Source organism: Homo sapiens, chromosome 22 (genome assembly GCF_000001405.40).
Source record: "Homo sapiens chromosome 22, GRCh38.p14 Primary Assembly".
Lineage (NCBI taxonomy): Eukaryota > Metazoa > Chordata > Mammalia > Primates > Hominidae > Homo > Homo sapiens.
In genome coordinates, this window is record NC_000022.11 from 22,779,744 (window position 1) to 22,797,982 (window position 18,239).

Sequence of the window (18,239 nt, forward strand, 5' to 3'; positions counted from 1 at the left end):
GGGGAGGGGTGGAGGAGGAAGAGGGAAGGGGAGAGAGAGAGAGAAAGAGACAAAGAGAGAAAGAAAGACAAAGAAAGAAGGAAAGAAAGAAAGAAAGAAAGAAAGAAAGAAAGAAAGAAAGAAAGAAAGAAGAAAGAGAAAGAAAAAGAAAGAAGGAAGGAAGGAAAAAAAGAAGGAGAAAAGAAAGGGACAGAAAAAGGAAGGAACGACGGGGAAAGAAAGAAAAAAAGAAAAAATATTTCAAGCTTTTCAGTAGCAGAGACACTTCGTAATCAATAAGCAACAGAACCAAAACAAAAAAAAAAATCTACAGAACAGTCTAAATACAATTATAAACTTCTGATTCGGATATCAAAACCATTTCAATAATAAATATATGGTATGAAAACCTCACAAAGGTCAAGTAGAATGTATTATATTTGAAAGAAATTACGAGTTGAGAGTAGGAAATTTATAAATTTAATCAAACAAATAAGCATTATGAGGAAGTTGTATTGCTAATGTATTATTTGGCAAGCTGTTCAGTGGAACACCAAGATATTCTTAAGGAAGTTGCAAATATCTTTTTTTTTTTTTTTTTTTTTTTGAGACGGAGTCTCGCTCTGTCGCCCCGGCTGGAGCCCACCACCACGCCCAGCTAATTTTTTGTATTTTTAGTAGAAACAGGGTTTCACCGTGTTGGCCAGGATGGTCTCGATCTCCTGACCTCGTGATCCACCCGCCTCGGCCTCCCAAAGTGCTGGGATTACAGGCGTGAGCCACCGTGCCCGGCTGCAAATATCTTTTAAGATGTTGTCATTGAAGTGGATTTTAAAAGTGAGGACATGAATACCTTTAAAAAATATTCAGGGATAAAGAGAGAAAATTAAATTTAGATTGTATACATATATAAAATGTATTTTAAAAGATCAGCTTGGCTGGGCGCGGTGGCTCACGCCTGTAATCCCAGCACTTTGGGAGGCCGAGGGGGGCGCGGATCATGAGGTCAGGAGATCGAGACCATCCTGGCCAACATGGTGAAACCCCGTCTCCACTAAAAATACAAAAATTAGCTGGGCATGGTGGCGGGCACCTGTAATCCCAGCTACTGGGGAGGGTGAAGCAGGAGAATCGCTTGAACCCAGGAGGCGGAGGCTGCAGTGAGCCGAGATCGCACCACTGCACTCCAGCCTGGCAATAGAGTGAGACTCTATCAAAAAATAAAAAATAAAAAAATAAGCTTGTCTCTTTTTATTCCTTAAATAAAAGGAGCAGACACTTAAATTCCTTGCCTTTTATTTTAAAATTTAGAAAATGCTTACAGCTTCCCACAGTGAAATTTATACTTAGATAATCTAATCAATGGATAATAATATCAAAACAGAATTCTTTGACCAATCTATTTTCTTCATTTTTAAGTCTAAATGTATACTCAAAGAAATAAAACTATTTATAATTGATTCTGCTGTTTGAAAATATTTACTGATCATTTACCTTGCACCAACTGACCTCCAGCTCTGAAGATAGGTCAGTGGTAAAGTATACAAAGTTGCCCAGCTTCGTTAAACTTAAATTCTAATGAGGAAAAAAGAAGTAATTAATCAGGGACTTTAAAACAGGAGTGTTGTGATATGGCTTGGAATTCTAATTGCTTCCTGTGCTTGCTGTGTGGAGACTGGATTGAAAAATAGGGCGATGATAGGAGCTTAAATTCATACAGAATATGGCTAGCCTGTATTTTGAGGGCCCCTGAAATAAGAATGTATAGTAGTTCTCATTATTTCCTCAAGAAATCTCTGCAGTAGAGCTTTGGCCTTGGGAGGGAAGTACTATAGTCACCAAGTGGTGAGGGTGGGAAGGTGAATTTGCAAATACCATTTGGAATGAGTTCACTTTAAAGGTAAAGCTGGCAGGATTTTCATACATGTCAGATCTGAAAATCTGTGTGTGCGTGTGTGTGTGTGTGATAGAGAGAGAGAAAGAGAGAGAATTAGAACAAGACAGATACAGACAGACAATGACAGAGCTGCAGAGACAGAGAGAATTAAATGGGGACACCAAGAATATTGAGCTGAGAAACTATAAAATGGGAGGTGCCATTAAACAGAATGGGGAAGAGCAGTTTTGGGGAGTGTCAGTGGCTCCACGTAGACTTATTAATTTTGAGATTCCTAAACCACATCCAAGTGGAGAAGACAGACAGTATTGTGTGTAGTCTAGTGTTATGGTATCATATAAAATATCAGGAAATGAATGACACAAAAATTAGTAAGAAAGCAAAGATAAGAAAGATAAAAGTCCCGAGCCTAGTGGTTATCTACTGCCTAAAAAGTAGTAGGCTGGGCATGGTGGCTCAGGCCTGTAATTCCAGCACTTTGGGAGGCCAAGTTGGGCAGATCACCTGGGGTTGGGAGTTCAAGGCCAGCCTGACCAACATGGAGACACCTCGTCTCTACTAAAAATACAAAATTAGCCAGGCATGGTGGCGCATGCCTGTAATACTCAGGAGGCTGAGGCAAGAGAATTGCTTGAACCCAGGAGGTGGAGGTTGCAGTGAGTCGAGATCGAATCATTGCTCTCCAGCCTGGGCAACCAGAGCAAAACTTGGTCTCAAACAAAAAAAAAAAAGAAAAGAAAAGAAAAGAAAAGAAAAAGAAAATTAGCAAAGATGAGAAGAAACCAGCAAAAAGTACTAGGTATAATTATCAAAAATGTCAAGAGGAAAGTAGGTTAAGTGTTCTAGAATTCTATCAAAGAAAGTTTTGAAAAAAAAGAGGGAGAGATCAACTGCATTAAATGCTGCTAATACATAAATTAAGCAAAGGCTGAGGAATTACGCTTCAATTCATCATTTAACAATATGGATACCATTTGTGCTTTGATAAGAGCAATTTTCTTGGAATGAGTAGGTGAGAAACCATATTGGAGTGGTTTCTCAAAGGAATGCCTGATCTCTGGGTTCTTAAGGAAACTTTTTATTGAACAGGGGAGGCACAAATTGGATTAGTTTTAATTCCGGGGTCCGGACACACTCTAAACATGTGCCTCTGCATGCCTCGCTTTTTAAAGCTAGGTATCCTATTATCTTTCGATAACAAAATAATCACCTGCAAAACCAACACACATTTAATGGACACACTTGTAAAGTGTGTACTAGAGGTTGTTGGAGAGGATGTGATTCCACGTGATAGCTTACGAGTCACTGATGGGCAGGTAAGCTGGTAAAATATCTTTGGAAAACTCACCATACCTGTTATACTTAAATATTCAGATACCAAACAGCAGAAAATCCATATTGTAATATATTTCCATGAGAAAAAACAAGAGCTCTGTATTAAAATATTGATTATTATTAAAAATAATCCCACTGGGTTTCCTGACTTTTTTATTAGCAAGTCAGTCTCCGCCTGTTTTCAGTAGTACAACCTCTATTTAACAAATGTTTTGTATTTTTAATCAGCCACTTAGAAAAAATATTATATTTTATATCAATTCTACGTTCAGTGCCAAAACCAGTGTTTTGTACATTCCACAGAATTATTTGTTGAATAAATAATGAATAACTTAAATAAGTTATAGTATCCATATATAAATAATATATCATCTCCGAATACAGTGATAACATTTGTTATGTAGAAAATGATTTCAATCTCAGTTAAAAATATTTTGGGCATAGGAGTTACTGTCATATAAAGATTCTCACATTGTTTTGTTTATATGAAAATGTTTGCAGTTAACGTACATTTTTGGTACCTAAGGCTTTTGCTCTTGCTGCCATAGCAAACAGTGTGCCTATTAAGAACACGAACCTGAGTTTTATTTCATTTTAACAGATTTCTTAATAAAATATATGCCACCTTATTTGGTTTAATACATAAGCAAAGAGCCATCCACTCCACCATTGCCCCTTGTCCCTCCTCCAATGCAGCTCCTTAAGATGTTACTGATAGCAGAGGACTTTGTGTTCAACCTAAGCACTTTATAGCCCTTTTATTTTCAACTAGGTATGAGGTAAAATAATTCAGCACCAATAAAACAAACACTCTTTAAACAATGACCCTTTTTCTTAGCCTGTTCAACAAAACGCAGCAAGACAGAGTACACTTCTCTTTCCCAGCAAATCAGTGTTGCCACTACATTCTCTACGTTCTGAAAACTTGTATTATTGACTTTCTTACAAACACCCTTTGAGCTTATAATTTAGATGTCATCAAATAATGTACAAAAACACGCTACTTCCTCCCCCTTCTCTTCTCTTCTTACCAGACTATTGTCAGTTTGCTTTTCTATCCAACTCCTTTCTTCTGTCTACTTGATTTTTAAAAGACTTTCTACATATTTACTATCTTGGTATTGTAGAGACCAACTATGTGGTCAAACTACACATATAGGAAGAACTGAATTATATGCAAGCATTTTTAAATAAACGATTCCTCCTCAGTTTTCTGTGATTATTTCATATAATCAAATGTCTTCCAGATACACATCCCAAACGAGTGGTTGTCAAGCTCTGCTTTGTTGTCTAATTTTATCAGAATTATCCAAAATTCTTATGATAAATACAGATGAATTAGCATAACTCCAGATTTATGAAATGAAAATTTCCAGAACCCAGGAATATGCATTGAAAAAATGTATTCCTCACGTGGTGCTGATGTGATATGGGATCTGAGTTTAGAATCCAAGGAAAATTACCCTCCTTGCCCTCTAGTTGGCCAGAATTACCTAGTTGACCAGAGTTGCTCTCTTGTTATCTAGAGGTCCTCTTCCCTTTTCACATTCTGCTCTCTCTCCTTCTGTACCTTCCTCCTCTCCTCCCTCCACTTCTGCTCATCCAGATCCCAAGCCCTTCTCCATTGATTCTCCTAAAACTCCAAATGGTCAGTTGCCACTAAAGTCCCTCTGTCCCATGAACAAGATTTGTGGGCAAATGTAGAATTTAAGCTTGGACAGAGCTGAATCAGAGCTGCAATTAAAGATTTCCCTAAACCCAGCAGGGACCAGCAAATACTTATAGAAGATTAGAGATTTCTTGTGAGTGCAAAGGGCTCAGAGTGACCTGATGCTATAGACCAAATCTTATGGTCCCCTCAAATTCATGTGTTAAAATCTAATTCCCCATATGATGGGATTTGGAGGTGAGGCCTTGGAAGGTGATTAGATCATGAAAGCAGAGACTGTATGAATGGGATCAGTGTCCCTATCAAAGGGACTGCTGAGAGCTCCCTCATCTCTTCTGTCATGTGAGGACACAGTAAAAAGATGGCAGTCTATGAACAAGGAAGGAAGCCCTCATCAGACACGAAACCTGCTGACGAGTTGACCTTGGATTTTACCATCTCCAGAAGCATGAGAAATGAATTTGTTTCTCTGCTACCTAGTGCAGTGCATTATCTTTTGGCACCCAGATTGGCTACAGTACCAACATATCAACTTGTACACGTAATTTTTGAAATTCTGATGCCAAATCTTTGATGGCAACAGGTGATTGATCTGCTGGAGGAATGGACTGACATGATCCCTCTTTCCACAATAAACCAGAGAGTAAAAACAAGCAAAAGTAGGTCAAGGTCTTCTAAAAGCCGTACCTGAAAGGTTTCCAGTAACAGTTGATTAGATGGTAATTCAATCACACAAACAACCACGGCAAAGATACACAACTATCAGACATTTTCAGAATAGCCTCTAAAACAACATCTGACAACATTAGGGAGTTAAAGAAGGCACGAACTTTCAAAAAGTCAAACTTTATTTAAATGTTATTGTAGAAACTTGTAATTTTAACACTATGGATGAATTCTAGGGCAGGTGGTGGCATGGCATGGCGATTTGGGGGCACAAGTGCTGAGTTTTGAAGCTTCGGTTTTGATACCCTTTGGAGATGCCCCCTGGCCTCCACACCCCTGCCCACCTGTCAAGAAGAGCCTGTCCTGGGCAGCACCTCAGGGACAAACAGCCCAGAAGCCCAGTTGAGGGCAGACCTCCAAGGTTGGAGGAAGAAGCCGCCTCTGGGAGCAGGAGGAGCTGCTGGATCCCCTCCTCCCAGGTTTCTTTTCCTGCCCCCCAGCGCCTCTTGCAGGCAGGCAAACAACCCCAGCAGGAGCAGCAGCAGGCCCTTCAGCCGCAGGGCTGCAGCTCTGCTGAATGAGAGAAGCCTCTCTCTGGCGAGTCAGAGGAGCGCAGGCCATATACCCGGGTCTCTACCTCCATGTCTCCCACTGTGCCCAGGACTGAGCCCAGCGTGGGAGATGCGGGCTGGGGCCGTGCTGGCCACCCCCTCTCTTCCACCTCTTGCTCCAGCCATGCTTTCAGCTCCAGGGCTGAGGCCAGTGGCTAGAGCAGATCTCATGATGTCAGGTAGCTCCTCACTGGGCTGGTCCTTGGCAGGACCAGGACAGGGGCAGGAGGGATCTGGAGCTGCTGATAGCTCCAGTTCTGTCCCTGAAGGGGGGTCTTCCCCTGGTGCTGGCACTGGCTCATCAGCTGGCGCTGGAATTTCCTGTGTTGCTGCACATGGAACAGGAGATGAAAAAGAAGAAAGACTCACCAACGTCAGTCACTTTCCACTGGAATTTTCACACACAGAATCAACCTCGCTGAATGTAAGGTATTCCAGCCCGAAAACACTGCCCCTGCAAAGGCTCATAGACTATAGGCCACCTCACCGTGTGCCTGTGCCTCGATGAACTCCAGAGGCTCCAGCTGGACAAGAACAATGTGCAGATGTGGCCGCGATGGGATCACCGGTGGGGCCTGGCCTGGTAGGGCCTGCCCTGGGCTGCCCTGTGGTACTTGGGGGCGCCTTTGCCCAAATGGCCAGAGGCGCCTGGAGTGAGAGATGAGTGAGGTATTGCCCCTCACAAGAGGGCATTAGCTGCGGGGATCCGCCCACAGACCCTGACCCAAATGACGGATGAATAAAACGTACACTGACACAGAGTTATTCTGCTTTGCCAGTCCTGCTGAGTGTCCCACTGCCTGCACACCAAGAGAGGTTTGTCACTGCAGCTGGCCGTGAATAGCTCGCACTGCAGGCATTTATTTAGTATAGAATTTACAACGGAAGCTTTGAGTAAATACTCTTGTGGATAATTAACATGGTTAAGAGAGTAGTTCTACCAATGATTAAAGCTCAGGTACCATGGTTTAAAGTAAATACCACTGGGGGCAATTTCCCGGGTCTACCTCCCCCCTCCTCCCCAAGAGGACTATCTGGCTCAAAGGCTAGTTAATGGAAGTAGGGTAAACAGACTTAACTGGGGAAGCCTCTATTGTCCCTAACATTTACCCTATGAGCTAATGCTCTAAGATAAGAAGCAGCTGCCTTCAGCCTGTTCAATTATTACAAGCTATGTAACCTTTCCGCCTTCCAAAAGGTTTGTGACTATTCCCTGTAACTTTCCCTAATATTTCCCTTTAATATTTCTGCCACCATCCTGAGTGAATCCCAATAGATGAGCCTGCGTCAGCATTGTGGGAAAAGGCTCTCGCTCTGGGCCCTCCTGAAGCAGGAGACTCGAGATGTGGGAATGCAGCATGAGAACATCTTGCTCTCCTGAGCATCTCCCACCAAGGGAGCTGGCTGCGGGTCTGTCCCTAGGATGTGGGTGCCTGATTACCAGAGTTCTAAGTTCTGTTAGAGTCCATCACCAAGGAAGTGAAGTCACTTCTTTAAGGTTCCGTACCCTCGGCTCCTTCCTTCAAAACCTACTCAGAACCCCCTGGGCTGCTGGCTGCTCACCCTCCCCCCAGGTCAGCTCCTTACCTGTACACAGGTAAGTCCACCCAGTGTCTGCTTGTACACCTGTGCCTGATGTGCACCTGGGGCCTGGGAATCCACTTAGGGCCTGTGATCCAACAGGGGCCTAATGTTGATTAAAACTAATTTTGATTATTCCTATGGAGAAGGAAAGGCCTTCTAGCAATAAGAAGCAGAGTTCCAAATCAAATACGTAAAAATGATCAAAACCTTGTAAAAGAAAAGTATCTTAATTTTAATCACTGAAATGTTAACTTTTTGATAAATATTTAAGGTTATAATGAAAAATAAAACAATACTAATAAAATAACAGTTGCAGGAAATGCTATTGAGTTTCTTGTTTGTGGTTTGAACACTGAAAGGTCCCACCTAGTTATGGTCATAATTTCCTACCTTAATCTTCTTGTTCTTATGAGTAATAGAAAAAAACACAATGACGATGAATGTGATGATGGTTCAAATACACAACTGAAGTTTAGTGGCAGAAACATCAGGTGCTCCCAATTACAGTGCAGCTGTTCTTACTGAGGTGAGAAAAAAAATCTTGTTTTCAATACACACGGGAAGCAGGAGTGCACGCGGATATGACCGCATTTCTCTGAACTTATGTTTTTCACAGAAGAGCTACAGTTTATCCTGCATTCTCCGTTCTGTGATCAAAAACCATGGAACAGAGAAGAGCATTTCAACCTGAGACTCAATTATAAGAATTGCGTCTGCCCCACCTCCCTGCAACCATATATGCCACCTCTCTGTGCTGAGCCTGAGGGGTTCACATATGGCACAGACTGAGGCTGGACTCAACAGTCCTTACCCTCGCAGGTGACAGGCGTTCTGGGGTCACTTGGAGGAGGGAAGCTCCTGGGCTCTGTCTTCTCCACCAGCAGGGGGCAGCACAGCTGCAGACAGAAGAGAGGCTGAGGCTGCCCAGAAGGAGCCTAAGAGGGAGGCCAGCCATGAAGGCTCAAAAGGTGTCCAAGGATCAGTCCTCAATTTGGAAGTCCAGTAAAGTGCATCCTATCCCCTCGGGCTGCAGTAACTCCGTCCTGACTGTAAGACTCATGCAGCGTCACTCAGGGCACTGACAGGAGCCCAGGGACAGTGAGAGCCTCACCTGGGAAATGCAGCTGGAGGCGCCTGGGCCCCGGTGTCAGCCTGGGGAGCTTCCACAGGGCTGGGATTCCCTGGGAGACGCCCCGAGGTCAAGGTGCTCTAGGAGGGGGCCACAGTGTGAGAGGACAGGGTTTCCAGGGCCCAAGCCCTTCACCTAGTATTGCTGCCTGAGCCTCCTGCCACTCTCATGGTCTTGTCCCTCTCTGATCAGCAGCATTCTGGGGAGCTGAGCCCTCAGTCCTGGGCACTTCCAGAGACCTCCCCCCGCCACCCCTTCTCCCTCTGCCTTTCCTTCCAGCTCCAGGCATACTGTGACTCAGGGGGCAGCTCCTGTGCTCAGGGGAGTCTCACGTGGGTGGGGTGGTGCACTCAGGACCCTGGCTCCAGGATGTGGCATTTCCAGCCTCCTTGAGGAGATGCTCTCCACAGGGAAGGGGATTCTCACCTGCCTCAGGCCAGAGCTCTGGCCACGAGGCTGTCCTTGGCTCAGGGACAGGATACACCTCATTGCAGGAACCAAGGACCACCCACCCTGCAGACCCCACACCCTGTCCAAAGGCTGTGTCCCTGGGATGCTTACAGCGACCATGGGGCTTAAAGTTGAATTTCCCATCAATATTTCATGTAAACTTGCAAAAAGCACAAGAAAACCACACTGGGCTGAGAACTCTGGTGCTATTTTGCTGCTTTTTACAAGTTTACATAAAATATTGATTGGAAAAATAAACAATGGCAGAGCTGAGGATGGCAATGGCTGGTCTACTGTGGGGATGGGGATGGCCTAGAAGTATCAGCCCCATGGGTGAAATGAGACCAGACGTCCTGATGACTCCACATGGGTGAGTGGTTCCTTAAATGACTCAACTATTCTCACTGAAATAGTTAACTAGTGTCCTAATGACACAATCCATCATTTAGATGAAATGACCAGGATGGGACATTTCCTCCAGCCAGGAAGACTGTGGACAAATTCATGAACTGGGCTGGCCCAGTTCACCTGGGTCTGAGACCCCCTGGATCTGAGTCCCTCCAGCCCTCCAGGCAGGCTCTGAAGAGGGGGCGTCAAGAGTGGATTTAGACTTAGGTGACCAGGATGTATTGGGGTTTGAGGACTCAGCTGTGACTTAGGGAAATGGGGCCTGATTGAATCATCAGACTGAGGTAGACATCCATCAGCTGGGCTCTGGATTTCCATTGGTCATGACAAGCCAGTCCTTGGCCTGAATATCCTGGATCAGTCCCCAGAACTGCCCAGCTCAGGCTCAAGTCATTCTCTACAGAAAAACCAGTGGAGTGGACACTGTAGGATCTGCCCAGATTCTTTCTTCTGAGCTCACCCACCCAGCACTGCTGGGAGCTTGTGGCAGCTGAGAGCTGTGCCTTTCCTGGGAAGTGTGGCTCAGCGCAGAAAACTGCCTCCTCCAGGTTTATGCCCTTCCTCAGCAAGATTAGGTTTCATGACTGCCTGAGGCCAAGTTCTCAAGACTCTGCCTCAATATAGGAGGAAATGAAAATCCTCCCAGCTCCACAGCTCCCTGTAGGAAAGACTGAGACCTCAATGTGCGTCAGGGTCTCTTTCCGCCCAGTGTTGCCTCCCTCACATCCTCTGTGCATGAATTCCTCATCTCAGAGTCTGCTTCCAGGGAACCCAAATTAAGATCACCAGCCATCCCCAACATGGGCCATGCGGAACCTCAGGAGGCCACTGCACACTGGAAAGCGCCCATTTATTCCTAAATTAGCACTGTGAGTATCCAAATGCCCAATGAGATCTGAGTGTTTCTTGCATTTGTATGGAATGGAAAGGGAGCCTGACTTGCCAGGTGCTCTGGGTCTGAGGGAGAGTTGGAGTCAGATCTCCCTGCAGGGAAACCCGGGACAGGAGGAGAAGCCTCACCCCATGCAGGGACCACAGATGCACCCACAGGGTGAGCTGCAGGATGGACACTGCCCACAGGGTGAGCTGCAGGATGGACACTGCCCACCTCCACCCTCCATGCCCTGTAGAAAAAATCATTCTTTCCACCCCTCCTTCAGCCTATCAAAGTTGACACTTAAAAAGCCACCACACCCCACCCTTGTCAACAGGAAACCCATTCACATCTCCATCAGCCACACAATCTCCAAGATTCTTCAAAAAATAATAACACTAGCTATGCAAAGTATATGATATATATCATAAATAATTGTACCTAGATTATATATGAAAATGATACTTTTTGATATGCTAGGTAAATAAAATATATTATTTAAACTCATTGACTTCTTCTCTTTGTATTTATAATGCGATGACTAGACAGTGGGATTCCCATGAGGCTCACATCATATTGTGATTGAACAAGGCTGGTCTGCAGGGCTTCAGGTTACAGGGGCTGTGGAGTGACCTGGTGCAGGAAACCCCGTCTCCATCCATAGGACATCAGTGTGAACCCAGGGAGAGGCGCTGGTATGAGAGATGAGAACACAGGTGTGAACCACCTGCTTGTGCAGGGGACTGAGCCTTCACTTTGAGCCAAAGAAGTTTCTTTTCCTATCTTCAATCCTGAACAAGAGGGCTTTCTGGACTTCTTTTTGTTTTCAGATTTGTGCCCCTTCAGGTTTGGGGCTGTCTGGAGTCCCAGCCAGAGGACAGTGAGGAAATCCAGGAGTCTCACACTGACTCTGTTATATTTCATCTGCTGGGGCCATCCCAAACTGCTGTGTACCATTTCCTTTCCTGGTGCTCAAATAGCTGCTCCATTCACCTGTCATGGTTTCAGAGATGAATCTAGGTGGGAAGACAGGACAGTGTATGTTATAATATTTAAATGGAAGCTGATTCCATTAATATTTATTTTAATATGAAACATTAAAAGAATTTTGTTATAGGCTATAGGGAAAGATGAAAAGAGATTAAAAGTATTTTGAAAAAATGTATTTATCGAATGTCTGTGTGTCTTCAGTGTTGCAGGGTTGAGAGAGGTCAGCTTTAGGTTGGATGTGCTCAGATGAGGAAAAGCAAGAAAGCAGGAAACACGCGGCTCTGTGACCTGACACATAAATCACAGTAAAATGGAAATAAATCTTTCAATAAATGAAACATTCAAAATAAACGTCACTCTGGTGCACACAGAAAGGCCTATTAGCAAACTTTCCCTTTGTCCTGCTGGCTCATATCCCCATGGATCACCTGTGTGCAGAGTGGACACTGTAGTCCCCATTTCTCAGGCTGAGAACTAGAGGCTGGGAAGGACAAGTCACCTGCTTGTGAGTGGGAGGGGCAGGATTGGGAGCAGTGGACTCGGGCTCAGGACTGCGGCCCTGGTCGGTGCTCTGTGTTCCCTCCACAGGATCCCTCCCACATGTGCCCGTGTGGATGTGGGTGCACTGCCTGGGGTGGCTGATGTGCTCCAGGGATTCGATGGTGCAGATGCTTCAGCACAAAGCTTGGGGGTGGGGATGGGATGAGGCTGCAGCTGGGGAGACCAGGGACCAATGCCACCCAGCAGAGGTTTCCACGGGGTGGGCAGCCCCATTTCCTGGCAGTAGAGACAGCCTGGAGGTGGGTGCCAAGCAGAGGGCACTGCAGGGTGTGCCCAGGCCTGGAGGGTCACAAAGACACAGGCACCACACAGCAGAGTCACTGAGGACCAGAAGCTCACTCAGGTAAGGGATTTCAGCAGAACTTTCTCTCCTGAGCAAATCAGGTACAAAAAAATTAAGATCCTGCCATCAGAAAAGACAAACAAGAACTTTTTATCTCCTCAGCTGAGCCCCACTGTCCAGGGAAGCAGAAGTCTCTGAGCCCAGCCCAGGTGAGGGTGGGGTGAGGAGAGGAGCTCAGGGTGGAGATTTGCATGGAGGCCCCACCCTCCTCTGAGGCAGAGGGGATAAGACAGGGCTGGGGGCAGGCCCAGTGCTGGGGTCTCAGGAGGCAGCACTCTCGGGACGTCTCCACCATGGCCTGGGCTCTGCTCCTCCTCAGCCTCCTCACTCAGGGCACAGGTGACACCTCCAGGGAAAGGGTCACAGGGGTCTCTGGGCTGATCCTTGGTCTCCTGCTCCTCAGGCTCACCTGGGCCCAGCACTGACTCACTAGAGTGTGTTTCTCCCTCTTTCCAGGATCCTGGGCTCAGTCTGCCCTGACTCAGCCTCGCTCAGTGTCCGGGTCTCCTGGACAGTCAGTCACCATCTCCTGCACTGGAACCAGCAGTGATGTTGGTGGTTATAACTATGTCTCCTGGTACCAACAGCACCCAGGCAAAGCCCCCAAACTCATGATTTATGATGTCAGTAAGCGGCCCTCAGGGGTCCCTGATCGCTTCTCTGGCTCCAAGTCTGGCAACACGGCCTCCCTGACCATCTCTGGGCTCCAGGCTGAGGATGAGGCTGATTATTACTGCTGCTCATATGCAGGCAGCTACACTTTCCACAGTGGTCCAAGTTCCTGGGGAACTGAGACCAAAACCCACCCTGGGCTCTCAGGCTCCCTTTTGCTCTGAAGATGCTTCCTCACCCTGTGCAAGGGGCTTCCTGCAGCACGGCCTTGAGAATTCTTCTCTCTCAGCTCCTCTCCTTTCCCACCATGAAATCCAACAGGAAACCTGCCCTGTGGTTTCTCATCCCGGACAGGGACAGCTTCCTGGTGCTTGTGTGCTGTGGTCCCTGAATGTGCAGCTCTTCCCAGCTCTTCAAATGCAGGGACAGTGACAAGCAGCTGCCTGATTGGTGCAGTCACTGCTTTTTTTTCAGAGATGTCTTCACCCTACATGCATCACCATCTCCCACACTGTGGGTAGAATTTTAGCCAAATATGGCTGGGCGCAGTGGCTCACACCTGTAATCCCAGCACTTTGGGAGGCCAAGGCTGGCAGATCATGAGGTCAGGAGATCGAGACCATCCTGGCTAATACGGTGAAACCCCATCTCTATTAAAAATACAAAAAATTAACCGGGCACGGTGGCGGGCGCCTGTAGTCCCAGCTACTTGGGAGGCTGAGGCAGGAGAATGGCATGAACCCGGGAGGCGGAGCTTGCAGGGAGCCAAGATTCGTCACTGCACTCCAGCCTGGGTGACAGAGCAAGACTCCATCTCAAAAAAAAAAAAAAAAAAAAGAATTTTAGCAACTACATTCTAATAGTTATCGCCACAACTTTGATCTTAAATAACAGTGCAGTGAACATCCCTATGCAGCCTCCTTTGAGTTCCTGTGTGAATATGACCATAGGATACATTTCTAAAACTGAAATTGCGGGTCAGAAAGATGTGTGTTTGTAATTTTCACCCATTGTTGTCAGATTCCCCTCCAGAGGGGTTCTACCAACTTACAATGCCAACCATAAGTATTTGTTCAGAGTACATTGTTGAAAGTGTAAATTTTTGCCAACCTACCAGACTGAAAAATGTTATCTTGTTACAGTTTTATTTTTGAGTCTCCCATTCTGCTTAAGGTTGGGCCTTTTCACAAATAGTTCAGTACTCTTTATTTTTTTAGTATTTGGTAAACTTTTTCTTGAATATCCAAATAAGAAGAATTTTAGTCTTTGTGGCAAGGCACAGTGGGTCATGCCTGTAATCCCAGCAGTTTGGAAGGCTTAGACACGTAAATTGCTTGAGCCCAGGAGTTCGAGATTAGCCTGGGCAACATAGTGAACCCTCATCTCTATTACATTAAAGAAAATAAACATAAATTTTAAAATGAAGTATTTTAGTCTTTGTGGCCCACGAATCAACTTTGGGGATATTACATAGGTACTTACAGCACCATTTATAAAGTAACCATTTAAAATGATAAAAACCACTGTCAGCTCTGGGCCACACAAAAACAGGTGTCAGGCCAGTTCTGGCAGGGTGAGGGCTACTATGGTGGGAAAGGGAAATGGAAGCCAGTAGAGCTTCTCCTACCTAGAAAAATAGTAAATCAAAAACAGTGTCATATCCCTGGAGGGATTGCAGAGATTAGTGCCACCATCAAGGACTTGAAAGACACAGAGGTGGTGATCAGCACCACATCCCTGTTCAACTCTCCCAGTTGGCCTGTGCAGAAGACAGATGGATCTTGGAGAGTGACAATGGATTATCATAAGCTTAACCAAATGGTGACTTCAATTGCAGCTGCTGTACCAGATGTGGTTTCATTGCTCAATCAAATTAACACATCTCCTGGTAGCTGGTATGCAGCCATTGACTTGGCAAATGCCTTTTTCTCCATTCCGGTCCATTAGGCCCACCAGAAGCAATTTGCCTTCAACTGGCAAAGCCAGCAATATACCTTTACTGTCCTACCTCAGAGATTTATCAACTCTCCAGCTTTGTGTCATAATCTTGTTTTTTTTTTCTTTTGAGACAGAGTCTCGCTCTGTCACCAGGCTGGAGTGCAGTGGTGCAATCTCAGCTCACTGCAACCTCTGCCTCCTGGATTCAAGCAATTCTCCTGCCTCAACCTCCTCAGTAGCTGGGGCTACACGCGCGCACCACCACGCCCAGCTAATTTTTGTAATTTTAGTAGAGACGGGGTTTCACCATGTTGGCCAGGATGGTCCCAATCTCTTGACCTCGTGATCTGAACGCTTCTGCCTCCCAAAGTGCTGGGATTACAGACCTGAGCCACCATGCCCAGCCCTTTGTGTCATAATCTTATTCAAAGAGATCTTGATCACTTTTCACTTCTGCAAGATAGCACACTCGTCCATTACATTGATGACATTATTGGATTGGATTCAGTGAGCAAGAATTCACAAACACAATGGACTTATCGGTGAGACATTTGCATGCCAGAGAATTTGAAATAAATCTGACTAAAATTCAGGGACCTTCTACCTCAGTAAAATTTCTACGGGCCAAGTGGTGTGGGGCCTGTTGAGATATTCCTTCTAAGGTAAAGGATACGTTCCTGCATTTGGCTCCTCCTACAACCAAGAAAGAGGCGCAACGCCTAGTGGGCCTATTTGGATTTTGGAAGCAACACATTCCTCATTTGGTTGTGTTACTCTGGCCCATTTATTGAATGACCCTAAAGGCTGCCAGTTTTGAGTGGGTTCCAGAAGAAGAGAAAGCTCTACAACAGGTCCAGGCTGCTGTGCAAGCTGCTCTGCCACTTGGGCCATATAACCCAGCAGATCCAATGGTGCTTGAGGTGTCAGTGGCAGATAGCAATGCTGTTTGGAGCCTTTGGCAAGCTCCCATAGGTGAATCACAGTGCGGTCCTCCAGGATTTTGGAGCAAGGCCCTGCCATCCTCTACAGATAACTACTCTGCTTTTGAGAGACAGCTGTTGGCCTGTTACTGGGCTTTGGTGGTAACTGAACATTGACTATGAGTCATAAAGTCACCATGGGACCTGAACTGCCTGTCATGAACTGGGTTCTTTCTGATCAATGTAGCCATAAAATGGGTCATGCACAGCAGCATTCCATCATCAAATGGAAGTGGTATATACATCATCAGGCTCGAGTAGGCCCTGAAGGCACAAGAAAATTACATGAAGAAGTGGCTCAAATGCCCATGGTCTCCACTCTTCCCCCCTGCTTTCTCTCCCCCAGCCTGCACCGATGGCCTCATGGGGAGTTCCCTATGATCAGCTGACAGAGGAAGAGAAGACTAGGGCCTGGATCACAGATGGTTCTGCAAGATATGCAGGCACCACCTGAAAGTGGACAGCTGTAGCACTAAAGCCCCTTTCTAGAACATCCCTGAAGAACAGCGGGGAAGGGAAATCTTCTCCGTGGACAGAACTTTGAGCCGTGCCACTGGGTGTGCACTTTGCATGGAAGGATTTTAGCCAACTACATTCTAAAGGTTATTGCCACAACTTTGATCTTAAATAACAGTGCAGCGAACATCCCTGCATCCCTGCATGGAAGGAATGCCATTTCCCATAAATCACCAAATCACTCAGAATGACTACGCATAAGCCCTTAATATACGCCAGATGCATTGGTTATTGTTTTACAAGCGGGACCTCAAGAAGACTTTCATAATACGGAATAGGATGATGCAAAGCCCTATGCTCAAGGCCCGATCTTTACTAGAAAACTAGTATTGGGAGGTTACATGTTTTCCCCAAACAGATCTTTGAGGAATCCCGCAGATGCCAAAGACCTGCTGGCCTAAGAGTAGACACTTATTTTCTCACAGTTCTGAAGCTGGAGAGCCAAGATAAAGGTGTTTATAGGTTTGGTTTCCCCTGAGGCCTCTCTCCTTGGCTTGCAGGTTGCTGCCTCCTTGCTGTGTCCTCACATGGTCTTTCCTCTGCACACTCATTTCTGGTGTCTCACTTCTGCGAATGCAAATTTTTATTAGCCTGGGTTAATAATTTTTATATCAGCCTGGCAGATTCTATCACTGATTTACTTGATTATCCTATTTACTTGATTATTAAACTCCTTCTCTGCTGAGGTCACCCATTGGTGAGCACTCGCATGGGATACAAATATCTTCACAGTTTTTGATCACTCAGAGGGATCCATCCACATAGCTCTTCCCCAAATTTCTTTGTCATCAATTTTCCAATCATGCTTCTTCCAAGTCCCTGATCATCCAACCAAACCATTGGCTACAGCCTATGAATCAGTATAAAATTGCATATCTGGACATTTCTCCTTCCAGGCAGTGCTGAGAAAAGTGGACATCCACATGCAGAACAATGAAACTGGACCCATCTCTCTCCAAATAAAAAATCAGCCCAACAAGGATTACAAACCTAAGGATAAGACCTGAAGCTATAAAACAACTAGAAGGGAACATAGATAAAATTCTTCAGGACCTTGGGATACACAAAAATTTTTATGACTAAGACTTCAAAAGAACAGACAACAAAAATAAAAATAGACAAATGGGAGTTTATTCAACTAAAATGCTTCTGCAAAGCAAACAACAGATTGAAGACACCCTTAGAATGGGAGAAAGTATTCATGTGAATAGGTCCTAATATCCTGTTCATCTGAAAAGGCATAATATCCAGTGTAAGAATAGAGGACAAGGCTCTAAAATAACTGATTAGCATTAAAAAAAAAAAAAGTGGGCAAAGGACCTGAATAGACTTTTCTCTAAAGAAGACATACAAATGGCAAACAGGTATGTGAAAAAATGCTTAAGGTGACTAATAATCAGGGAAATGCTAACTAAAACCCAAATGAGATATCATCTCACCGCTGCTGGAATGACTATCATCAAAACATAACAAGGCTAGGCGCGGTGGCTCACGCCTGTAATCCCAGCAGTTTGGGAGGCCGAGGCGGGCGGATCAAGTGGTCAGGAGATCGAGACCATCCTGGCTAACATGGTGAAACCCCATCTCTACTAAAAATACAAAAAATTAGCTGGGCATGGTGGTGGGCACCTGTAGTCCCAGCTACTTGGGAGGCTGAGGCAGAAGAATGGCATGAACCCGGGAGGTGGAGCTTGCAG

General features: G+C 45.4%; 1 pseudogene, 1 gene segment (V, D, J or C) and 1 further gene; 2 read left to right on the forward strand and 1 right to left on the reverse strand.

Annotated features, from left to right (window-relative positions):
• The window catches only part of IGL (immunoglobulin lambda locus), an 896,838-nt gene that overhangs the window by 753,668 nt on the left and 124,931 nt on the right, over positions 1–18,239 (forward strand).
• On the reverse strand, positions 5,925–6,490 carry LOC100420967 (chromosome 2 open reading frame 27B pseudogene; annotated as a pseudogene).
• Positions 12,790–13,260, forward strand: IGLV2-11 (immunoglobulin lambda variable 2-11). The segment is given in 2 exon segments: positions 12,790–12,835; positions 12,953–13,260. Coding segments are annotated over 2 exon segments (354 nt in total).